The 23,995-nt window shown below is 47.8% G+C and overlaps 1 protein-coding gene across 19 annotated transcripts in view, besides 2 other annotated features; it reads left to right on the forward strand.

Annotated features, from left to right (window-relative positions):
- SNX29 (sorting nexin 29) overlaps window positions 1–23,995 on the forward strand; it is a 597,554-nt gene that overhangs the window by 345,147 nt on the left and 228,412 nt on the right. The gene's annotated exons all lie outside the window — the stretch shown is intronic.
- Window positions 10,367–10,867: an enhancer, noted in NCBI's record as "H3K4me1 hESC enhancer chr16:12426104-12426604 (GRCh37/hg19 assembly coordinates)". NCBI's record gives its function as "activates a minimal SCP1, AML or CMV promoter by ChIP-STARR-seq in naive H9 embryonic stem cells {active_cell/tissue: H9 hESC(naive)}" and the evidence as "EXISTENCE:reporter gene assay evidence [ECO:0000049][PMID:30033119]".
- Window positions 19,442–20,641: an enhancer, noted in NCBI's record as "BRD4-independent group 4 enhancer chr16:12435179-12436378 (GRCh37/hg19 assembly coordinates)". NCBI's record gives its function as "activates an origin of replication core promoter dependent on BRD2, P300/CBP, MED14 and CDK7 cofactors, and independent of BRD4, by STARR-seq in HCT116 cells {active_cell/tissue: HCT116}" and the evidence as "EXISTENCE:reporter gene assay evidence [ECO:0000049][PMID:35650434]".

The following is a 23,995-nucleotide window of genomic DNA, read 5'->3' on the forward strand; positions in this document are numbered from 1 at the left end:
TGTGCCAGGGAGGTGGCCCAGCGTGGATGAGCTTTGGGATTTGTGTTAGTTAGGGCCCCGATTCTGGCTGACTCAAACATCAAAGCACCTGTCGTGGTTCACGTGATGGTGAAGTCCAGGTAAGGGGGGATTCCAGAGGAGGTTCAGGCTGTCGTCGGGGTCCCGGTCCTGTGTCTGCGTGACACAGTCCTACCTGGTTCCCTTCACTGGAGGAAAAATGGCTCCAACAGTGCCAGGCTTCTCCCTACCTGCAGGTTGAGAACAAATGCTTGTCCCTGCGTCCTAAGCAGGGGACCTAGGGTAGAACCCATAAGGCCAGTCACGCTAGTGATGGGAGTGGGGAGAACTCCCTGAGTGGCCTAACCTACATCCTGTGTTCCACGCTGGAGCTGGGCGAGGAGTCAGCTTGCCCAGAACTGCATAGGGTCTCTGGTGGAAATCAGGGGCTATCGCAAGAGAGGGCAGGGAGGGGACCCTGGACTCCAGCACCTAGTGTTCATGACAGTTCTCTTGGGATTCTGTCCCATGTAAAGTACAGAGTCTAGTCCTGGATTTGAGAAACTTCTCTGATCACATATCCAATTGTTAAAAAGAATTGTGGGTTACTGCAATATACATTTGTTTGTTTGTAGTGTACATAGATTCTTTATAATATACAAAACAAAAATCAGGAACTTATTAAAGATGATGAATAGAAACTAAGGTGGAGTTCTAATACTCCTTTGGGTAACTTGGGGATCATCTCAAGCATCCTGTGCTGGAGACCTCTATTAGGATGCAGTCACTGGGGACTACCATTAGGACGCGGTCGCTGGGGACCACCGTCAGGACTTGGTCACTGGAGACCACCGTCAGGATGCAGTCACTGGAGTTACTGGGGGACCACCGTCAGGATGCAGTCAGTAGGGGGCCACTGTCAGGATATGGTCACTGGAATCACTGATGACCACTGTCAGGATGCGGTCACTAGGGGACCACTGTCAGGATGCGGTCACTGGAGTCACTGGGGACCACTGTCAGGATGCGGTCACTGGAGTCACCGGGGACCACTGTCAGGATGCGGTCACTGGAGTCACCGGGGACCACTGTCAGGATGCGGTCACTGGAGTCACCGGGGACCACTGTCAGGATGCGGTCACTGGAGTCACTGGGGACCACTGTCAGGATGCGGTCACTGGAGTCACCGGGGACCACTGTCAGGATGCGGTCACTGGAGTCACCGGGGACCACTGTCAGGATGTGGTCACTGGAGTCACTGGGGACCACTGTCAGGATGTGGTCACTGGAGTCACTGGAGTCACCGGGGACCACTGTCAGGATGTGGTCACTGGAGTCACCGGGGACCACTGTCAGGATGTGGTCACTGGAGTCACTAGAGTCATTTCTGTGCTGTGGCATTTTAATGTCGTTACTTTGAGTCATTCCTTTTCTCCAGTCGTGAGTTGTGCTGTCTGCCCACCACTACTGATTTAATATTTTCTTTAAATTTTCTCTCACTTTTTACCTAAAGTAAACTCATTTGTAAAGAAAACGAGCATCATTTGCCATCAATAGAAAAATAACTTCAAAAGTACCATGATGAATACAAAACAGTAGGTTAGTGTCTAGTCAGCCACTGTAGTCTGCCTAGAGGTTTTAAAAAAAAAAAAAAATGGTGAACAAAGGTTAGCAGGCAAAGGCAGATGAGCCTCGACTTGAAAGACTGAGAAGGCATGAGAAAGGGAAAAGCTTTGTCTGGCATCCAGCATTGTTCACTGTCGTATCCAGGCACCACAGAAAACCATCTTGGTTTCCGAGTTCCATGCTTGGGGAGACACTGGTGGGGTGATTAAGGGTGTGGGCACTGAAGCCAGGTGGCCTGGAGTTTGAGTGCCATTTTTATCCCTTCCCTGTGCCTCGTCTTCTTCATCTGTGATGTGGACCTCCCTCCCAGAGATGTTGGGACTAGATGGAGCAGTATTTTCAAATGTCTTCATGTATGACATGCAGTTGTTAAGTACTAACTTTTATTATTACTGGTTTAAGTTGTTGTTTAAACTGTTCCAGACTTTTTAAGGAATATTTTCAATTTGAAAATATAGAGATTGATTGTAAGTGTTCTGTGATCAAACTGATCCTAGAGAAGAATATGACGTACTCCCTCAATTTATCCATGGGGCCTGAGATCCAGCCAGTCTGCAGAGACCCAGATTGGACCATCGCAGTGTGCTGGGGTTTGTTTCCTCATGTGATTATAAACTTTCACATGAGACTGGGACCTGTTCTAGGCATTTTTGGGGGTCATTCCATGGGCTTTTGGGGGGGTCCCATGAGTTTACATTGAGGACAGCATCCTTGGAGCCTCAGAAAACTGAGCAGCCCATCACCACTGGTCTCTCGGTGCTGCAGAGGCAACTTGGATGCCAGCAAGTTCCAGGCCAGTGGTATAATGAGGCATGAAGTCCCAGGAGGACTGGGAGGAAGACAGGAGTGTCCAAACAGGATGACCTTTCTCCTCTCCAGCTGATTCTCGCCCTGTGGAAATGCTCTTGGCATTTCAGTGCTGGCATCTGTTTTTTGTTTGTTTGTTTGTTTGTGGAGATGGAGTCAGGCCATGTTGCCCAGGCTGTTCTCAAATTCCTGGGCTCAGGCGATCCTCTGCCTCAGCCTCCCAAAGTGTTGAGATTCTAGGCCTGAGCCACTGTGCCTGTCAATGTTTTCTTTTTTAAAATTGTACTGGGTGAGCAAAACCTGTTTGCAACCTCTGGTCTAAGCCCATTTGTGAATTGATCCCCTTCCCCTCTCCTGCTACCTGCATTGTTGACTTTAAAGCTCTATTCTCGGCCCCCAGCCCATCTCCTAGTCCCTTTGATGATAAACAGTGCCATGAACACAGCTCAGAGCTGACAAACGGGCCTCCTGACCCAGCAATCCATCTATCTGGGAGGTTGCTGAAAACCGAAACCTCCCAGGCTACCCAAACACCCACTTCTGAAGCCCCCAAACTCCACTAGGTAATGAAAGATACCCAGGGAAATTAGAACAATGACAATAAAAACAGCGTTTCAACCGGGACGCAAGCTCTTGGGTGGCTTTACTCAGGAGGGTTTTTTCTCCCACTGGCCCTTTATATAATTCTCCACAGTGATGGGTATATTACAGCAATCTTGTAGAACGACAGCCTTGTGAAAGACAGAAAACAATGTAACTGCCCCCAGTTTTTAACTGACTTTCCTTTGCAAAATTTTGCCCTTCGCTAGCAATGTATCCCATCTCTACTTCTGCAGGCCCCTCCCTAATGGCAAGAAAGAATAGAAATCTGAAATGTCTGCATTTTGACTATAGCCCTTCCAGTGTGACCCTCTGAAAGGCATTTTTAAGAAAGAGCAGAAATGTTGGAATGTCACAGACATTTATTTGCATGGTATCATAACAGATTTTAATTTGACAAGGAAACCGCCTAAGAGGAAGGATTGAAAAGCCAATGCCAGGTAGAAGAGGTTTCCTTTGCGAAAATTATTTAAATGCATTCTGGCAGCTCTTATTTGAAGGTTAATTGTGATTCCGACTGTTAGGGAAAACCTAATTAACAATAATGGGAAAAAACTACATTTAAGTAATATTAAGGTTGTGACAAGCATTTTATAAAAGCAAGAACTCATTGCTGAAGTTTAGACTTGCTCTTCCAACCTGTGGCCCATTGTTCTCAGGTAGTGAAGCAGATAAAATGCATTAATTAAATATTTGGAAGCACTTTGCTGGTTCTTCTTATTTATTATCTTGTGTGAGGTTGACATCTTGGCAATTTCTGAGAACAAAAGAATATACAGAGAAGTAGATTTGCTCCTTATTTTATCAGCGGGATTATATTTAAATATAATTTTTGGCCAGGCACAGGGGGTTATGCCTGTGATCCCAATGTTTTGAGGGTCCAAGGCAGGAGAATTGCTTAAGGCCAGGAGTTCAAGACCAGCCTGGACAACACAACAAGATCCTGTCTCTAAAAATTTTTTAAAGCTATTAGTTGGGTGTGGGGGCATGTACCCGTAGTTTCGACTGTTCAGGGAGACTGAGGCAGGAAGATTGCTTGAGCCCAGGAGGTCGAGGTTGCAGTGAGCTGTAATCACACACTGCATTCCAGCCTGGGCACCAGAGGGAGACCCTGTCTTTTTTTCTTGTTTTTTGAGATGGAGCCTCACTCTGGTGCCCAGGCTGGAGTGCAGTGGTGCGATCTTGGCTCACTGCAACCTCTGCCTCCCGGGTTCAAGCGATTCTCGTGCCTGGGACTACATGCACGTGCCACCACGTCTGGCTAATTTTTGTATATTTTTTAGTAGAGATGGGGTTTCGCCATGTTGGCCAGGCTGGTCTTGAACTCCTGACCTCTCAGGTGATCTGCCCGCCTTGGCCCCACAAAGTGCTGGTATTACAGGTGTGAGCCCAGCCAAATAAATATATAGCTTTTTTGTCTTTTTTTTTTTTTCCCTGTCCAGGTGTGAGGGGCAGTCAGGTTGGGAGGGGCCCTGGAAGGGTTGAACCAGGTGGGCATGGCATGGAGGCATGAGTACTGGGCAAGTTGGCAAACTTTCTGTAAAGGGCTGTGTCGGAAACATGTCCGGTGTGATGGCCATGTGGTCTCTGTCACATCTGCTCAGCTCTGCCGGTGTGTCTCACAGGCAGTCATAGGTGATACATAAATGAATGGGTGGGATTGTGTTCCAAGAAAACTTTATGTGCAAAAACGGGCACTGGGGCTGGCTTTGGCCCGGGGCTGTAACTTGCTGGCCCCTGTGTGGAGTCTGGAATCTGGTGACCTAGGTTTGGATTTAAGTCACTCCCAAGTCTCCAATCCTGGACAAGTTTCTCTGTGCTGTTGTTTTCTTGGAGTACAGTGGATATTATACTAGCTTGTGGTACTGTGGTGCAGGTGGCACTGAGGCTGGGGCAGTGTGGTAGGGCATGGGCCACTGGGCCTTGCGGGAGGTGTGAGGTGGGGGCAACCCCATTTGGTTGGAACGTGGTGCTTTTTATTACTGTGGGCCAAGGTCCGAGGCATTTGGGAAAGACTGGATTAGGAATGGGGGCAGCTGCTGCAGTTGGAGAGAAACACTGAAGGCTTTGGGGGCGTGGCTGATGATGGGGTTGACCGATGGGGCTGATGGGCTGCTGGGTTGCTCTGTGAGAATCGGAGGTGTCATCCTATAGGAACCACATGACCCCTCTTCGTGGGTCCCTTTATATCCTGTTGGACAACCTCTGTCTTCCCCCTGTAAGTCAATAAAACAGTCCCCCTGGCTTAATTTCATGTTTTTTGTGTCAGTCATGTTACTGTCTTGGTCAGTATCAGTGAAATCGCAGCCCCCATAAAGCTTCCTTTCTAGTGATGGGGTCTTTTTAAGCTTCTGAGTGACATCAGCCTTTGTAGCAGGATGGGCGTCCTGTAGTTTGAGGAGATTGGATGGTGTATTAATTAGCTAGAGCTGCCCTAACAGAGTACCATGGGTTGGGTGTCATCACAGAAATGTATCTTCTCACCTTCCGGAGGCTGGAAGGCTGAGATCAAGGTGTCGGCAGGGTTGTTTTCTGAGGCCTCTCTCCTTGGTTTATAGACGGCCGTCTTCCCACTGTGGTCTTTCTTCTCTGCATGACTCTGTCTTGTCCTTCTAAGAAGAGGAGATTAACAGTCGTGTTGGGTTAGGGCCCACCTTAATGACCTCATTTACCCTTAGTTACCTCCTTAAAGCCTCTGTCTGCAGGTATAGTCACATTCTCAAGTACTGGGGGTTTGGATTTGAACATGTGAATTACGGGGTGACACAGTTCAGCCTATAATAGATGGAGTTGCTTGGCACATGGAAACAGAGCCGGAGAGAGACAGAGAGAGGAAACCAGAAGTCAGGCTGTTGATGCTTGCAGGGAGGACAGGCAGGAAGGGTCCTAAATTGGGTCCCCTGTTGAGGTCACTCCCATGAGGTGACCATTTGGGATTAGGTCTGAGCATCATTCTACTGAGGGCCAGGTGGACAGGGCCCTTCCTGCCACCATCCTGCTCATGGCACCGTCCTGTGGATTTCCGCATAATCTCCGTGTGGAGTTGAACCCCACCCGGAGACCATATTCAGACACTGTCAGCTGGTGGCATGAGCAGTGTCACAAAGTCAGACTGTTGTGGGTTTCTAAAGCCAGCTTAGGCAGGACACCACTTTCCAGAGCCTCGGGTTGCCCATTGGTAAAATGGAGCTGCACATACCTCTCCCTTGTAGTCGTGGGAAGATTGAGAATCTGCATATGGCACGTTTGGCACAGTGCCTCCCGCAGAGTAGACCTCAATAAACTCTAGTTGTTCTTTTATCCTAGCTGTTGCTTTTATTATTTTACTACTACTGTTTGTATTACCCTCAGCCAGCGATGTTTCTAGCTTGTTGATATCTCTTGGCCTTTCAGCTATAGATTATTTATTGTAGCAACTAACTTGAAAAGTGATGCATTTGTGGTTTCATGTATCTTAGAAGTAAAGAAAATTCTTCTACAAGCCAAACAGAAAGCCCTTGGCTGCCTCACATCCCCAGTGACAATATTTTTCACAGTGTTAACAACTCTTAGAAGCACAGGCTATGACCTCTGCCCCAAAGCACTTGACTCTCAGCCAGGGTGAGGCTGTGGGCAGGAGGACTTCTGGAACATGAGTGATACCTGTGTGCCCAGATTCCTCGTTCTCTGTCCCCAGAGGCCTTGGTTCTCTGACTTCTCGGTCAGCTCCACTGTCTTACCACATTCAAACCTTTCTTGGAAAAGAATCGTTCATCCTTTCACTTGGATGCCCTCTAAATTTGAACACATTTCTATCACAGTCTGCTAAGTCTTATTTTCATCTGTGTATCTCTCCCTGTTTTACTCAGACTTTTTTTTCATTATTGCCACAAATGCTTCTTTAAATGATTTAGGCAAAGATGGAGTTGATTGGCTCATGTAACAGACAATTCTGAGAATGCTGGCTGAAGGTATGGCTGGATGTGGGAGCTGAAGCGATGTGATGTCGGGACACTGTCTCCCTGGTTCCCTGGGCTCAGTTTCCTATCTTGGCTTCATCCTTGGTGGGCTTTTCATCTACAGTGACAAAATAACCCCCTGGCCAGGCATGATGGCTCACACCTGTAATCCCAACACTTTGGGAGGCTGAGGCAGGAGGATGGCTTGAGGTCAGGAGTTCAAGACCAGCTTAGGCAACATCAGGAGACCCAGTCTCTACAAAAAATAGAAAACAAAATTGAGCTGGGCATGGTGGTGCGTACCTGTGGTCCCAGCTACTCAGGAGGCTGAGGCAGGAGGATCTCTTGAGCCCAGGAGTTCAAGGCTGCAGTGAGCTATGATTATGCCACTGCACTCCAGCCTGAGCAACATGGTGAGACCTTGTCTCAAAAAAAAAAAAAAAAAAAGTGAAAAAATACCCCCAGTAGCTCTAGGCGTCCATCTCAGCAGCTTAGCAACTGTAGGCAAAGACCTGGGATGGATACTGGGTTGCTACTAGCAGCTGTGTCCAGTTGAACTCTCCACAGGCAGGTGCTGGCTTACTGGGTTTTGTCATCCCAGCCACTTGCATGGTGCCTGGCACATAAACCGCAGGACTGACCAGTGTTGTCTGGTAAAGATAATTTGGTTCCTAGCTGGGAACTAGCCCTCCTCTTAATGGTTTTTATGATTGTATTTTTCAGTGGCATAAATGATTGGAGAGTGATTTGTACCCCACACAGCCCTATGCAATAAACAGGAGTGTGTATTACCTTCGTGTCTATCCATGCCAGCTGCTAAGCATGTTTTTCTGCTATGCGTTGGCTCACAGTTCACTGGCAACGAGTCCTCTGCTTCAGATCACTCAGGTGGGATTGAGGTGTTGGCACACATGCCAAGTGGCCCTTCTCTTTTCAGCTTCTGTTGAATGACTTGACTTGTATTTTTCAGACCTGTTCTTTGAATAGCACAAAGATCACTGTTCCTCTTTGACAAGAGCTGTTTTTTTCTGAAGGGACTAAGACGCGTTAACAGTTATTTATACCCTGTCTTGTTCCAAAAGGCATTTGAGTGGCATATCTTACAGATAGGTGCAGGAGCTTGGGCTGTTGCGTCTGAGACACTATCCTGATGGGCACACTCCTCAACATCTCTGAACCTCATTTTCCCTGTCTGTGAAATGGGGATAATGAAGACCCATTGCAGAATGTTGTTTTGAGAATTAAATAATTTACAGCTTAAGTATTAGTCACTTTTGTTGTTGTTGCGGGAGGCTCAGGATCAGTGATGTGAAACAGTTGGCCTGGTGCCTGGGACAGAGATGTGCTCAGGAAATGGTGGTCCCCTTGTGGCCTTGAGTAAACGACTTAACCTCTCTGTGCCTGTTTCCTCACCTGGCGACCAGCCTGACCAACATGGCGAAACCCCATTTCCAGTAAAAATAGAGAAATTAGCCAAGCATGGTGGCGGACGCCTCTAATCCCAGCTACTCGGGAGGCTGAGGCAGGAGAATCGCATGAACCCAGGAGGCAGAGGTTGCAGTGAGCTGAGATCACACCACGGCACTCCAGCCTGAAATGGGCTTGACGGTCATAAGTAATGATAGTTAACACTCACGCAATGCATCTGTGAGCCACGCTTTCACTGCGAACTGTTTAATCCTCCCGACAGCTCTGGACGACAGGTGGTCACCATTGTCACCTTTTTACAGAATATGGAAACTGAGTCCCAGTGGGTTGAAATAGTAGCCTGAGGTGACATCTTTGCAGGCAGCGGAGCCAGGCGGCTGGACCCCAGAGCCCTGGTTCTTAACCAGCACGCGAGTCCTGGCGGCGCTTGTGGCAGGTTTCAGGGCTGAGGGTGGCATCCTTGCTCCCAGAAAATCACTTCAGATATTTTTAGGCCTGGATTCTATTTGGTCACTCAGCAGCCCAGTGTAGGTCTGGCGGATGGAGGAGTTTGGGTGCAGCTTCACGTTCAGATGGAAAAGCTGGTCTTCCCTGCACTTGCCTGCAAAGGCTCCTGGGGCAGAGCCCTGACACAGAATGTGGTTGGCCACTCCAGGCATGCTAGCCCCCTGGCTTATAGGCTGCAGAAGGCTTCCTTGACTGTTGTCCACACACTGGGAGCAATTCAGTTTCTCATCTTCTTTGGGCCTCTGTAGCCAACTACAGTTCCTTGCTTCAGAGCCTGTGTCTGTGTTTGGAAGGGGGCTGTGGATTGCACCCCATGGGCTCCTACCTTGAATCCTCTGCTGGTATGAGCTTGGCAGGCCTGACTGGCCCTTCTCCAGAGAGAGCTTTGGCCTCAGCTGCTGAGCCCAACTTTCCAGGCTGCTGGGCTTGGCTGCCCGGTTTCACTCCTAGAAACTCCTACACAGAGATCATGAGATTTACAGGACAGAGCCTTCTCTACGTGCTCCAAGTGGGTCCCTTGGTCATGCATTTCTTGGGCCTAGCTTGGTACCAGAAAAAGACACAGAAGCTGTCTAAACTTTGATTTAATTTTTATTCATTTTTACCTGGTCTTATTCCAAAAAGCATTTGAAGCAGCATAGCGTACGTATAGGTGCTGAGAGCATGAGGTGTTGTATCTGACACACTGTGTCATTGTGGGCATGTTCCTTAATGTCTCTGAGCCTCAGTTTCCCCACCTGTGAAATGAGAACACAGAAGACCTGTTCCAGAATTTTTTTGTTTTTGAGATGAAGTCTCACTCTGTTGCCCAGGCTGGAGTGCAGTGGCAGCGATCTTGGCTCACTGCAGCCTCTGCCTCCTGGGTTCATGCAAATCTCCTGCCTCAGTCTCTGAAGTAGCTGGGACTACAGGCGCCCGCCTCCACACCTGGCTAACTTTTGTATTTTTAGTAGAGATGTCGTTTCACCATGTTGGCCAGGCTGGTCTTGAACTCCTGACCTCAGGTGATCTGCCTGCCTCAGCCTCCCAATGTGCTGGGATTACAAGTGTGAGCCACCATGCCTGGCCAGAATATTGTTTTAAGAATTAAACAATTTGGCCAAGCACAGTGAATGCCCCAGGAACCTTAGCAGGCAAGTGGTGGCGCACGCCTGTAGTCCCAGCTACTTGGGAGGCTGACACAGGAGGATCGCTTGAACCTAGTAGGTGGAGCCTGCAGTGAGCCAAGATCATGCCACTGCACTGGAGCCTGGGTGACAGAGCGAAACTCCATCTCAAAAAAATAATAATAATAAAGAAATAATTTACAATGTGAGCATTACTTACTTTTGCTGTTACTGATGCTGTTATTAACATTATTACTATTATCCTCATCCTAGAAGAAAATTGATGGTCAGGGAAAATGAACTTTCACCTGACTCAGAGCCAGGTGTGCGTGCGGTGTGTGCACTTGCGTCCTTGTGTGTGTTTGTGTGTGTGTGCACGGGCATATGCATGCACAAGTGCGTGTCTTCAGCTCGTTGCCAAATGGTTGCATCTGGCTTTCCCCTGCATGAAGCTCCGTCATTTTCCATAGTTTCTGAGCAAATTAACTTTGGCATCTAGCTGGGTTGCTCATTTGCTAGTCGTGCCTGTTAGGAAAGGCTTGTTAAAGCTGTGTTATTGGTGGCGTTTTAAAAATGTGTTACTCTCTTTGTGCGCCTTTTGCCTGTTAAAGTGATGACTCTATCCTCCCCCGTCCTCGTCATATTGAAGGCCATGATCACAAAGCTTGAGGAAGACCCAGTGCTGCATGGTGGAGTGGTTGTGAGCTCCCCCGAGGTCCATGGGCAGGTGCTTTTGACGCTCAAGAACCCCGTCCTTAGGCCCACCTTCCAGGTCCACCTGCATCCCAGCCCCTGGCCGCCACCAGGGTTGGGCACCTCTGTCTTTCTCTTATCCTCCCAGCCTGATCTCTAGCACTTCCCCATTCCTGCCCTTGGTTCTTCTGGCCTCTGGTCTCCTCGTCAGTCCTCACGGTCCTGTCTGCTCCTCTTTCATTTCGTCTTGGCTGCTGTTGCCCGCCTGCTTCGTCACTCCATGTGCCCTCGTCCTTCAAGCCTCACCTCCAAGCTCACTTCTCTCCTGGGCCCGCTTTGAGACCCTCATGGCCACCCCTGCTCGTGCGGTTAGTGTGCATGTACAGACGCTCCGCAGGCAGTATTTCAGAGGGGAGGAAATGGAAGAAGGGAGGAAAGAATGAAGGGAATGGAGTATTTAGCATCCTGGATATTTAGCAGTGTGCATTTGTTCATTCACAAATGTTTTGCAGGCAATCAGTTAATTTTTTTTTTTTTTTTTGAGGCAGAGTCTTGTTCTGTTGTCCAGGCTGGAGTGCAGTGGTGCGATCTTGGCTCACTGCAACTTCCGCCTACCAAGTTCAAGTGATTGTCCTGCCTCAGCCTCCCAAGTAACTGGGACTACAGGTGCGTGCCACCATGCCCGGCTAATTTTTGTGTATTTTAGTAGAGATGGGATTTCACCATATTGGTCAGGCTCGTCTTGAACTCCTGACCTCGTGATCTGCCTGCCTCGGCCTCCCAAAGTGTTGGGATTACAGACGTGAGCCACCGCACCTGGCCGCAATCAGTTAATTTTTACAACTCTTAGGATGTTGGTAGAGTTTTCCCTGTTTGAGAGAGAAGAAAGCTGAAGCTCAGAGATTAAGTAATTTGATCAATTACATCTGATCAATGATCAGTATGGGTGTGCTGAATTCAGTGTACCTTTGTTCATTCAACAACATTTATCAAGCACCTGTGATGGGCCTGGTGCTGTCTAGGTGTTGGGCTTGTAGCTGTGATGAAGAGGGTGTGATTTCCTCTTCCCCAGGGCTCCCAGTCCGGACTCTCTAATCTTTTCATGGCTCCTGATAAGAATTTCTTCCCAAGCAGGTGAGAAGGTCTTATTACTTCAGCCATTATCTGTATCTCTCACAGAGCCTATGTCCTGGGGACTGGGCAGGAAGGAGGGTCCTACCCTGTAGGATGGCTGAGGTAGAAAAGGCCATGTTTAGCCAGGTCCATTCCAGTTATTCTCAGAGACCCGAATGGAGAATGACAGGTGTGGCTGCCAGGCAGATGCATCCCGCGTTTCCGTGCCCTGCATTTATCTTTGCCATCTCACTGAAATGAATGTAACCTCATGGGGATGTTCCTTGTCTTCCCCTGTGGCTGATGGGTGTGTTTGTTAAATATCTGGGATGTTTAATTTTTAGACGGCCTTGTAGGGAAGCGAAAACATGGCTCATCCCTTTCAGCTAGACGTAGGGAAACACTTCAAAGACACTGTCACCTCTGAAGCCATCCACTTTAGGTCTTTGAGGTTTTGAGTAAAGACAAGTGCAGCAAAATGACAAATGTTGGTTTAAAAACCTAAGCAGTCTGGAGATCTTTGGGATGGCATGTTTTGAAACAAAGCACACCGCCAAGGAACTCGCTTAGCTTGGGGCAACTTTCACAGCAACTGTTTGTTGGTGGGTCCTTTGGTAGAGAAACATGAGAGACTTTGAGGTCTGGGGCTTCGCTTTTGTGAAGCTCTGTCTTCCTGTGTAGGTGAGTCCCACCTTGGGGAAAAAAATCATCCCCGGGTGCATTCGAATGTTCTTTTGTGTTCGGCACCGTGCAAACCACTTTGCATGAATGATTTCACTTAATCTTGATGCATAAAACAGGGACACAGGGATGCTATTCTGATGACAAAGTATCCTTCCCCGCAAACATTATGGGACCCCTTTAAATCAAAGATAAGAATCTGGCATCCTGGGCTGCATATAGCCCATAGATCTGTTTGATTTGGCTAATTCGGTTTTTAGGATTGAATTTATTGACAATGCTGAACATTCGGGCCATTTCCCATAAAGCTCACTATTTCCAATTTCCCTTGAGAAAATGGAAAGCTCCCACATAGGTGGGTGTGTTCACTTGGGGCTCAGTAGTGGTGGCCCTGTTTTCAAGAGGGCAGTCCTCACCATGTCACCCCATCCCCACCTAGCCTGCTTCTCTCAATTATTTTACCTGCCTGGTCCCTATAGGCATTTGTGTCAGCCCCTTTTGCTTTAAGTTATCAGCCCCAGAGCCTTTTTTTTTTTTTTTTTTTTAAAAAGCAACAGTCTTTCAAATTTGATGTCATACACAAACCTTTGGGCCTGTCATCGACTGAGCATTCCGTCAGCGAATATGCGTCAGAAAACAAACCCTGCCAAGATGCATGTGAGGGGAGGTTGACTGTCGCTTCACTACCGTTCCTGTGGGAAATGACATCATCTGCAGCAGGGGAGCAGGACACTTAGCAGCACTTCCCAGAGTGGTGTCCCAGGACAGAGGGGCTGCAATCTCCAGGAAGGTGGATCATCATCTCGCTATTGTCTTAAATGTCTGAGTTATAGATCTTTGAGGGCCTTGAACTCCAGGACAGCAGGGAGGTAGGGGGAGGAGTCATCCAGACTTGGAAAAGATTCTTTAATTTTACTTGAAGTGAAACTCTTGCTGCTGGGAGTATAAGAATTCATTTCATCAAGCAAAAAAAGCTCAAATCAGTGATGTTTAGTGGTGACTATAAGGCCAGGTGCAGTGGCTCACACCTGTAATCCCAGCACTTTGAGAGGCCAAGATGGAAGGATCTCTTCAGGTCAAGAGTTCAAGACCAGCCTGGGCAACATAGGGAGGACCCCTCCCACCCCATCTCTACAAAACATTAAAAAAATTAGCTGGGCATGGTTGCATGTGCCTGTATTCCCAGCTACTCAGGAGGCTGAGGTGGGAGGATCTCTTGAGCCTAGGCATTTGAGGCTGCAGTGAGCTACGATGGTGCTGCTGCACTCCAGACGGGGTGACGGAGTGAGACCGTGTCAGCGTTGGGGGTTTGGGGGAAGCTGGTGGTCATGATGAGAGCAGCCAATGCTCTTTGCATTTCTTTATGTGCTAGACAGTGTGTTAAGTGCCTTCCCCAGATTATTTCAGTGAATTTTTCACAATAACTCAGTGAACTGGGTACCATAGTTATCCTTCCCGTTTACTAATGAGGACGCCAAGGCCCAGGCAGGATCACCACATGCTCAAGCTCATGTGGCTCATCACTGGCAGGATCAGGATTTGAACCCAGGCAGTTGGACTCCACCTCCACCGCTACCCTCTCCTGCTTCCTGTGGGTCAAGGCACATCCGGGAAGACAGTCTGTCTGGGTCTGTGTTTGTGACAACGGCCCAGCACTTGATATCTTTATGAAACCCTTATTAAATCAAAGAAGAAGAACCAGCTGGCATTTTGGGACATAGAGAAATATAATATTTACATTTTAAATAAATTAGGCCATCACCACAGACCCAGAGACATTGATTATTCTCAGAGTAGCTAACAGGAGGTTGAAATGGCTTCATATTGCGGGTCTTCCAGCCTGTAGGGAGAAAGCTTTGGTTTGGCGCTCACTGTAACACAGTTAAAGCCAAGGTATTCAGAATAGACTCTCTGCTCAGCATCCTGCGTTGACACAGAAGCCGTAAATAAATTTGATGGCAGAGCAGTTCTTGGCAAGAATTTAACAACAAATCTTGACATGAAACTGTGTCCCTGCTGCCCTGTGTCTGTCACCGTGTTGTTGAGATTGGCCTGGACGTGTTGGCACGTTTCACTGGATGGTTTGTGTTGCAGTCATGCCCATAGCTTAAAATTTTTTCCCCTCAGAGAAAAGATATTGGAATACTGTGTTTTCTCTTTACTCAGGGTTTGCATTTGGAGTGGTGAAATTTGCACTTCATTGTATATTCTGAAGGGTTGGCAAGTGACAAGTCACCTGTCCTTCCATTTTAGAGATGGAACATCAAGGTATGAGAGAACTCTGTTGGCTGAGTACAGTAGCTCATGCTTGTAATCCCAGCACTTTGGGAGGCCGAAGCAGGAGGATCGCTTGAGTCCAGGAGTTGGAGACCATACTGGCCAACATGGTGAAACTCCGTCTCTACTAAAATTGAAAAAAATTAGCCAGGTGTGGTGATGTGTACCTGTAATCCCAGCTACGCAGAAGGCTAATATGGGAGGATCACTTGAGTCCAGGAAGTTGTGGCTGCAGTGAGCTATGATGGTGCCACCATACTCCAGCTTGGGCAACAAAGTAAGACCCTGTCTCAAAAACAAACAAACAAACAAAAAACAGACACCACAAGAAGCCTTGGAAGGCAGAGGGACTGGGCATCATTGAGCACCAGAGTTGGCCAGGCCTGGGAGATGTTTTCTCAGTTTGATCTTAACCATCTTGGGCAGCAGGTAGTGCTAAACTCTTTTACAGACAAGGAACTGAGTTTGCATAAAGCATGTCACCTTCTGAAGGCCACCCAGCTGGCAGGTGATGGGGCTGGGAGGCAGCAGTAGGTTTGTCTTCCCTCCAGAGGTTCCTTTTATGTCACACTGTCTCCACAGTTGCTGGAGATAGGTATATTAATTTTTTTTTTTTACTTAGCTATATTGAGGTATAAATGGTAACGGGAAATTATGTGGATTTAAGGTATGCAATGCGATGGGTGTTTTGTTGTTGTTGTTGTTCAAGACAGGGTCTTGCTGTGCTACCCAGGCTGGAGTGCAGTGGTGCGATCTCGGTTCACCACAGCCTCGACCTCCTGGGCTCAAGTGATCCTCCCACCTCAGCTTCCCCAGTAGCTGGGACTACAGGCACGTACCATCATGCCCGGCTAACTTTTATATTTTCTGTAGAGACGAGGTTTTGCCATATTGTCCAGGCTGGTCCTAAACTCCTGGGTTCAAGCGATCCTCCCACCTCGGCCTGCGAAAGTGCTAGGATTACAGGTGTGAGCCACTTCACCTAGTCACATATCTCACTTTGAAGAAGAATACTTGCAAACATGTGACCCATTTGCCCCAGATTTTATGGACGAAGGGAAGGATTGTCATTCAGTGACGGTGATGGCGTGGTTTCCCTGGCCGAGTGAGGACAATGGCCTCATGGAGAAACCCTGAGATTTTGCTGCCATTGTCAGCATCTTCCCTCATCATCTCAAGTCTGGGACAGTCCTCTTTATGTCCTGGGTATAAAAGCTCCGAAGAAGAAAACAGGTTGCAAGTGGAAGTTTCTGCAGCCGAGGAACGGTCGGGTGACACTTCCATGGCCCTCTCACAGCCGCTTCACCTTGAAAGTGCTGCGGTCTTTGGGTTGAATCCAGGTTCTCTTCACAGCGACTGCCAGAGGAGCCGAGGAAGCACCTGCATTTGGAGCTATTCAGTGCATCCTGGAACCGGTGTTTGGCTTATTTTCTTAGCATAAGTAGATTTCTACCTAATGGGTCATCAGTGTTTTCTGGGGCTGAGTCATTAGGGAGGTGGGAGGCGGATCAATTGTTTAGACCAGACATCGCCTCTGCAGTTTGCCGAAACCACGGCTTTTGTTTTCTTTGAAAAGGAAAATGTTGGAGTCCAGTAGACTTTCTTAAGCAGTGTGGAGGCAACTCATGAGCCGTGGGGTTGGGCGAGGAAGGGAAGTACACTCTGTTCAGAACCCTGGGGATGTTCAGAACCCTGGGGGTAAATAAGGAAGCTCATCGGGGATCAGACCAGCAGAGGGACTGCCTTCCTTGGCTGCCTTCCCCCCGGGAGGTATTCCCGGGAACAAGGAAGCTCATCCCCTCTTAGGTTCTCACCGTGCATCAGGCGTTGTGCACAGGTTCCCACAAGGGGTGTCACGTTCTCCTCACAGCTTCAGGAAATCTGTATCATTAAAGTTTCCACTTGTAGATGAGAAAACTGAGTCTCAGAAAGGCTGTGTAATTTGTGTGAGGTCACACAGCAGCATTCACACCAGGTCTCCCAGAACACACAGCCCATACTATATCCCCATAGGCAAATCAGAAATGGCTAGCTTGATAAGGGACATCATCCTTGACCTGTTGCCTTCCTGGGTGGCAGGGGCCTGGGAGATGAGACTCTATGGAATCTCTCCCTGCAGACCCCTACCCCATCCCCACCCCCAGACCCACCTTCCATGTGGGAGGCGCTTGTGGAATATTTATTGATTGAAAGAGGTTGAAAGAAACATGTTTAACAACATATGGCCCAAAATCATAACAGTGTTTCCAGATGGAGGATTCATGATGCTGCCCTGCAGCTTAGAGTCCCCCAGATTAGGAGTGTCACATGGAGGGAGAGGTTAAACTTGTTCCACCTGTGGCCGTCATGGGCTGTCCTAGGACTACACACAGACAACTTTGAATTCAGTGGAAAGAGACCTGCGCCATCATGACTGTTTCATAATAAGTGGCAGCCGGGCATGGTGGCTCACACCTGTAATTCCAGCATTTTGGGAGGCTGAGGCAGGTGGATCACCTGAGGTCAGGAGTTCAAGACCAGCCTGGCCAACATGGTGAAACCCCGTCTCTACTAAAAATATAAAAACAATTAGCCAGGCGTGGTGGCGCATGCCTGTAATCCCAGCTACTTGTGTGGCTGAGGCAGAAGAATCTCTTGAACCTGGGAGGCAGAGGTTGTGGTAACCTGAGATCGTGCCATTGCACTCCAGCCTGGGCGACAGAGTGAGATTCTGTCTCAAAAAAAAAAAAAAAAAAAAAAAAGATTATGGGTAGTGAGTTTCTTGTGAGTGGAGGTGTTGAAGCAGAAACTGGGCAGTTACTTGGTGGCTCTGTGAGTCAGGACTCTAATCCAAATGACAGAAAACTCAAACTGGGCTTAACAAGAAATGAAGCTTTTTGAGTGATGAAAACTGGACATCCAAGGATTGGTGTAACCTTTGGCAGGGTTGCATCCAGAGGTCAGATGAGCAAATGTGGATGTTCTCTTCCTGCTGTTGCTCTCTGCTTTCTTTTTTGTGGTCTTCATTCTTAGGAAGGCTTTCTCTATATGTGATGGATCCTAGCAGCTCCAAGCTTATGTCCTATGAGCTTAGCAATTCTTGTCATGAAGAGAGGGTTTCTCTCCCAGTAGCTCTAACAAGATTCTTGGAATTGACTCTTATTGGCCTGACTTGAGTCTTCTGCCATCCCTGAACCAGTCACTGTGGCTAAAGGATGAAATACACTCATTGGCAGGGCCAGGGCACGTGGCCAACAGTCAGTGGGGGCGTTTGGTCAGCTTCCCCAGATCACTAGGAAGAGAGGTGGTTTCTTAAGAAAAAGCAGGATTCCATTAGCCAAAAAAGAGGGGAATTCATCTTGGGCAGAGAGAAAAAGAGAGATGTTCACCATGAGGGTCACTGAAAAAGGGTCTTTTAGCATCAAATGAGGAATTGGAGACGATCACTTTTTAGATTTAAATCCAAGACATAATGATCAGGTTTAGTTTCTTAGCCAAAAATTGTTTTCTTTTTCATCTTTGTTTTCATCATCGTCATCTTCTCCATCCTCCTCCCCTTCTTCTCCTTCCCTGGAGAAACTAACTAGAATGGAATGCAGCTGTAGAAATCCTGGTTAATTTCTCAGATGCAGAATCTGGTCTCTGCAAAGGAAGGAGAATTTCTATTGAAGCCCAACCTTTTGTTTGAAGTCCTATTCTCTGTAACGGGGCATAAAGACAATGTTCCTCAGTCAGTAAGCATTCCTAACCTTGAGCTCTAGGATGTAAGCTCAGAGGAGGAAGGAGCTTTTATCTGTTTGTTCCCTGTTGTATCCCCAGTGTCTAGACAGTGCTTGGCATGTAATAGTAAGGATGGATGGATGTGGGAGACAGAATGGGAAGAGCATGGTTTTGCATTGAACAGATTTGTGTTTGGAGTTCTGGAAACGTTGGTCTGTGAGTCATCTGGAGCAGAGTGACCACTTGGGGGCAGTGTGAGGTTATTATCAGTAACTTGCACCTGGTGGCCAGGTAGACAAGAGGCTAGAACTGCGAGAACAGTCGGGAGGGACCAGAAGGGACGATCTCCCCTGTCTCTCTTTCACAACCCCGGCAGCAAACATCTCTAAGAGTCTGATTAGGTCACCCGGAGCATGTGGTATCTTGGGCATTGAAGCATCTTTGTGGGTTCTTGAAGGTCTGAGATCCTCCAGTGGAGAGTGTTCCTCAGTGTCCCGCTTTATAGCCTTTTACGTGGAGTCTTTGCCTTCCATCCACTAAAGGGGCCCCTATCCTTTGTCTGTCACCACTGGCATCTTTCCTCTATTTACTTCACCATGAGGTTATGAGAACTCATCCTACAGTCTCTTCTAAGCCCCTATTTCCTTACCTGTAGAATGGGCATAATGCCTTGAAGAGACGTGATGATTACAGTGAAGGAATATTGATAAAGGACCAAGAAGAGTGTCTGGCCTGTGGAACGCATCCAACCTATGGTTACTATTATTATTGGAGCCCAAGGAGAGATTTGAATTGTATTTGGGGCTTTCACAGACAAACTCATTAGAAAGTACTGCCTGGGCCCATATAGCAGACAGAATACAAGTCTTGTGATGGATAGACCTGGGTTCAAATTCTGACTTCACCACTTGTGATTTGTATGACCTTGAACAAATGATTTAATGTGTCTGAGACCAGTTTCTTCTTGGGTAAAAGGATATCATGATACCTACTTCCTGTGGCTGTTGCAAAGCTGCCTTTAACAAATGTCTTTGGCCTCTGTGCCTTTCCTCAGACTTTCAGGCCCATTGTGAGAGAGCTAGGAAGATACAGGGTTGTCAAGTTGACACATGTCAGAATAGGATTGGTTCTGCCACAGTAACAAATGATCCTCAATCTCGGTCTTTAACAAAATAAAAGCTTATTTCCTGTTCGTATGTGTCCAACATGGGTTGCCCAAGGGCAACAGTGGGACTGTTCTGCTCCACATAATGACTCAGAAATCTAGGTGGACAGAGGCTCCCATCTTGTGGCCACACCATGGCTTTCTCACTTAGTGTTACAGGGAAGGGATGGTGCAGGGTCACACGCCAGCAGTCCTATGCTATGACTCAGAAGAAACATTTGTCACTTCCACCTGGAACTCGTTGGCCCTAAGTCAGAAGCTTGTGCCCTGTTGTGCAGAGGGGGCTGGGAAGCTTGGGGAGCAGGTAGGGTGCATGGTGAGCACCAGTATCTCTGCCACAAGGACCCACTTGTTGTCTTCATGACATTCCCATTGTAGGGATTAGAGCAGCTGTGGGCTAGTGACTCCGTAGCTGCCAGGTCATTTCCAGCACAGTGCTTCGTGCCAGGAAGTAAAGAAATTTAGGCTTGAGACCCCAGCTTCATAGATGCTGCTGAGAACGTGAACTCTTTTACCTCTCCCAGATTCTGGGAGGTAGATGTGGTCTTGTAATGCTGACTGTTGAATAGAAAACAGAAGAAGATCACATTTGATGAGCCACTCTGTTGGGGGTGGCCTAGGCAGGGAAGCATTGTGATACTTTTGCACTTACCTTCACTGCGTATATCATGGGGATATGAGTCACCCAGAGAAAAAGTTTTATTGCCTGTTGCCCTCTGCAAGGGAAGAAAAGTCACAGATGTCTGCTGCATGCCTCCTGAGGGCAAGAGTGTATGCTTGGCATTTTAACATACAAGATCTCGGTCATATCTTCAGTGTCCCATGGAGAGAAGAGATTACAGTCTCCATGTTGCTGATGAAACCATGAGGCTTAGGGGTGTTCAGAGCTGTGTAGAAACAATGGCTGCCCCGTTCATGGGACACAGCCAGTGAAGTGTGGTCCCAGATTCAAGCCCTTAAATTCCATGTTGTTGTTTTAAACTATACCATCTCGTCTTTCCATTGTAATGTCTGTGGGGCTTAAGGAAGTTGTAGGGATGTGCCCAGTTCTGTGTGTCAATCAAAGCTGTAAGAATCAGAATCTTGTGTCTTTTACGAAGCTTGAGTTGTATATTGGCTCATTTAGTCCTCATAACAACGCTATCATGTAAGAGCTCCTATGGCCACCATTTTTCAGATGCAGAAACTGAGGTCCAGAGAGGTTGAATGATTTACCCAAGGTCACCCAGCAAGTTACTGGCAGACTGGGACAGAATCCTGGCCGTCCAGCTCCAAGTTCATCCCCCAGACCAGTACCCCACAGTGCTCGCTCACATTTGAGCACAGTCTTCCCTCTGTCCAGGTGCTGGTGTTCATGAATTACTGCTTGGCACAAATGAATGGCTGCATACCCCTTCCTGGGAGGAGCAAGCCAGCCTTTACCTGAAGGAGGCTCTTGGCAGCTTTACGGGAGTGCTGTTGGGTGTGAGAAAGAGACTCTCAAAGGAAAACAACATTTTGATGCTCATAAAATTTAATGTTCTTTCATTTACTGTCTTTCTCTTGAAACTTGGACATAATTTATTGAGCCCGTGGTTGAAATATTCAGGAGGTCTCTGTGTGCTACTTCGAAGGGAATATGATTAAAAACGCACACCAGCCTCCACTGATTTCTCAAGACATGAGAACACGACAAAGAGCCACATAATTTCAGAATTCACATCTTTATGTGAAAGCCTGTGCTTTCCAGCACCTTGCAGAATGAATGGAAAAGCAGCACTTCAGGGTGAAATGTTTTCCAGAAAACTTCTGACTTGGTGTGCTAGTGTTAGCTTCACGGTACTAAATAACTTCTGTGTCCAGCAACCTATTCTCGGAGATAAAGAGAAGCTGCCCCAGGCCCTGTGCCAGGCTGGCTGCTCTGAAGTCACATCTTAACCATGTTTAAAATCCTGCTCGATACGATGGAGCCCCACTTTATAGCCGAGGAAATGGGAGCAGATGAATGATGGGGCTTGGGTGTGAACCTGTTCTCATGCCTCCTGCCAGCTGACCTCTTCCTGCCTTTGGCCTCAGCTTAGTATCACAAGCCCTAGGACGGGTAGCTGCCTCCCCTTCCTGTTCCCAGGGACCGTAGTCTTCCTGCTGTGCCACTGGCCACTTTGTCTGAGAACCGTTGACCACCTAGATCCCCACGAGATAGGGAGCTCTGTGAGGGCAGGGGCAGGGGCAGGGGCAGGGTCCTTGTCACACTGATGCCCAGAGCTCAGATCAGTGCCTGGCACACCGTTGCTCAATAAATGTTTGTTGAATGAATGAAGAAACGTGAATGAATGACTGAATAAGTAAATGAATTAGTGCTTCCAGGCCTGTGCAGGGAGGTGCATTTGACCTCTTCTGTGGTTTAGCTGTGTCCCCACCTAAATCTCATCTTGAATTGTAGCTCCCATAATTCCCACATGTTGTGGGAGGGACCCAGTGTGAGATAATTGAATCACAGAGGTTGTTCCCCTCTCCTGTTCTTGTGGTAGTGAGTCTCATGAGATCTGATGGTTTTATGAGAGGTTTCCTCTTTCTCTTGGCTCTCATTCACTCTCTTGTCTGCCGCCATATAAGACATGCCTTTCGCCTTCTGCCAGATTGGGAGGCCTCCCCAGTCATGTGGAACTTGTGAGTCCATTAAACCTCTTTTTCTTTATAAATTACCCAGTCTTGGGTATGTCTTTGTCAGCAGCATGAGAACAGACTAATACAACCTCACAAAGGGAGAGGGTTTATAAAATAACCCAAAGCAGAGAGAGATTGTCCAGCATGGTGGTGTGAGAAAGGACTCTGGTTCCAATCCCACGGCCTTTAGTGTTAGCTTTGCCTAGGACTAAACCTCCGTGAGCCTCCATTTCCTCAATCTGTAGATGGAACCACTAGCTAGAATATAGAAACCATGAGGGCAAGAGTCTCTCTTGTTTGCTGCTGTATCCATAGTGTTTAAAACAGGGTTTGGCAAATGGTAGATGCTCAGTAGATGTTTGTGGAATGAATGAATAAATGAATGAAAGAATCTGAGAATTTTCAGATATTGAAGATAAGTTTCTTAAGAAGGAGCCATGGACAGGCCTTGTATGGATAAGTTAACACAAGGATGGGGCTTAGGGTTGGGTCTGGCGTCCAATACATGCTCAGTAAATGTTTGCTCTTAATGACAGTGGCCTCACTGTATCCTCCTCTTCCTCTTTCTCCTCCTGGGCTGCCTGCCCAGCAGGCTGGAGAAGGCTTTCTGTGCTGGGGAGGAGAGGAGGCCAACGCTGCGCTGCCTTCTAACTCCCAGGTCTTGGGAAATCAATAGCCGTCCTCTGCAAGCCAGCCTGTAACCACTGTGCTTTTGAAAGGAGAGGCCAGCAGAGCCTTTTTAAAGTAATTCCGGCCCCATTTTCACAGGCCTAGCCGAGCACCATGTTTTGTGCTTGTGATGGAACTATAATTACACCCATTGTGTGGCGCCAAGTAAACCACCTCATATGCTACGTTTAAGGAAAGAGGCCTCTGCCCCTTTTTCCGCTGACCCTCCCATAATCCATGCAGCAGAAATAAGCCCTACAAGTGTCTGGTGTTGTCAGTGGCTTTGGCAGTGATCTCCAGTAACACACGTGGAGTTGGGTAAGATCCTGTGCTCTGCGCTAGAGCTGTGAACTGCCCAGGAGACATTACCATCTGCAGAAGTGCATGCTACACCTTCTTCTGGGGGAGCCTCATGTAACAGATAGAACATGGGTCTGGGCGTTAGCTACTGCAGCCATCTCCATGTGACCATGGGCAAGTGTTCTAGTCCCTGTGGGCCTCAGTTTCCTCCCATATAAAATAGGGACAACACCAGCACCTAGTATGATGTCTAAGACTTCTGTGTGCGGTTGTGCAGGTTGTACACTGCACAACAGCTTATGGCTCTGGGGGGACCAGTGGGAGCTCTATCTAGCCGTGCTCCACTCACCGAACTCAGATATCATGGGTCTGTGGCCAGTTGGAGCACTTCCTTTTATTGCATGAAAGAGCCTTTATGTCATACATGACGTACTTGACATTTAGTAAGTGCTCAGAAAACAGTAACTGTTGTTGCCACTACTACTGGGGGATGATCTGTGGAGGAGGTGGATGAATGGATCGAAGGCGTTGGGCAAGGAGATCAACTGAGATTTGAGTGACGTTGTGAAGGGTGGATAGCATTTTAGGATGTGGGCACAGTGGGAAGGTGGGGGTGCAGCCGTATTCTCGTTCCATCCATGTCGGTCCTTCTCTTGAAATGTTTTCTGCCCTCTCCTCCCACCTCCTCTCCCACCAGTTGCTTTTATGCCATGCCAAGAAAATTAGTGGAAAGCCATTGAAGA

The sequence above is a fragment of the Homo sapiens genome, chromosome 16 (genome assembly GCF_000001405.40).
Source record: "Homo sapiens chromosome 16, GRCh38.p14 Primary Assembly".
Classification (NCBI taxonomy): Eukaryota; Metazoa; Chordata; class Mammalia; order Primates; family Hominidae; genus Homo; species Homo sapiens.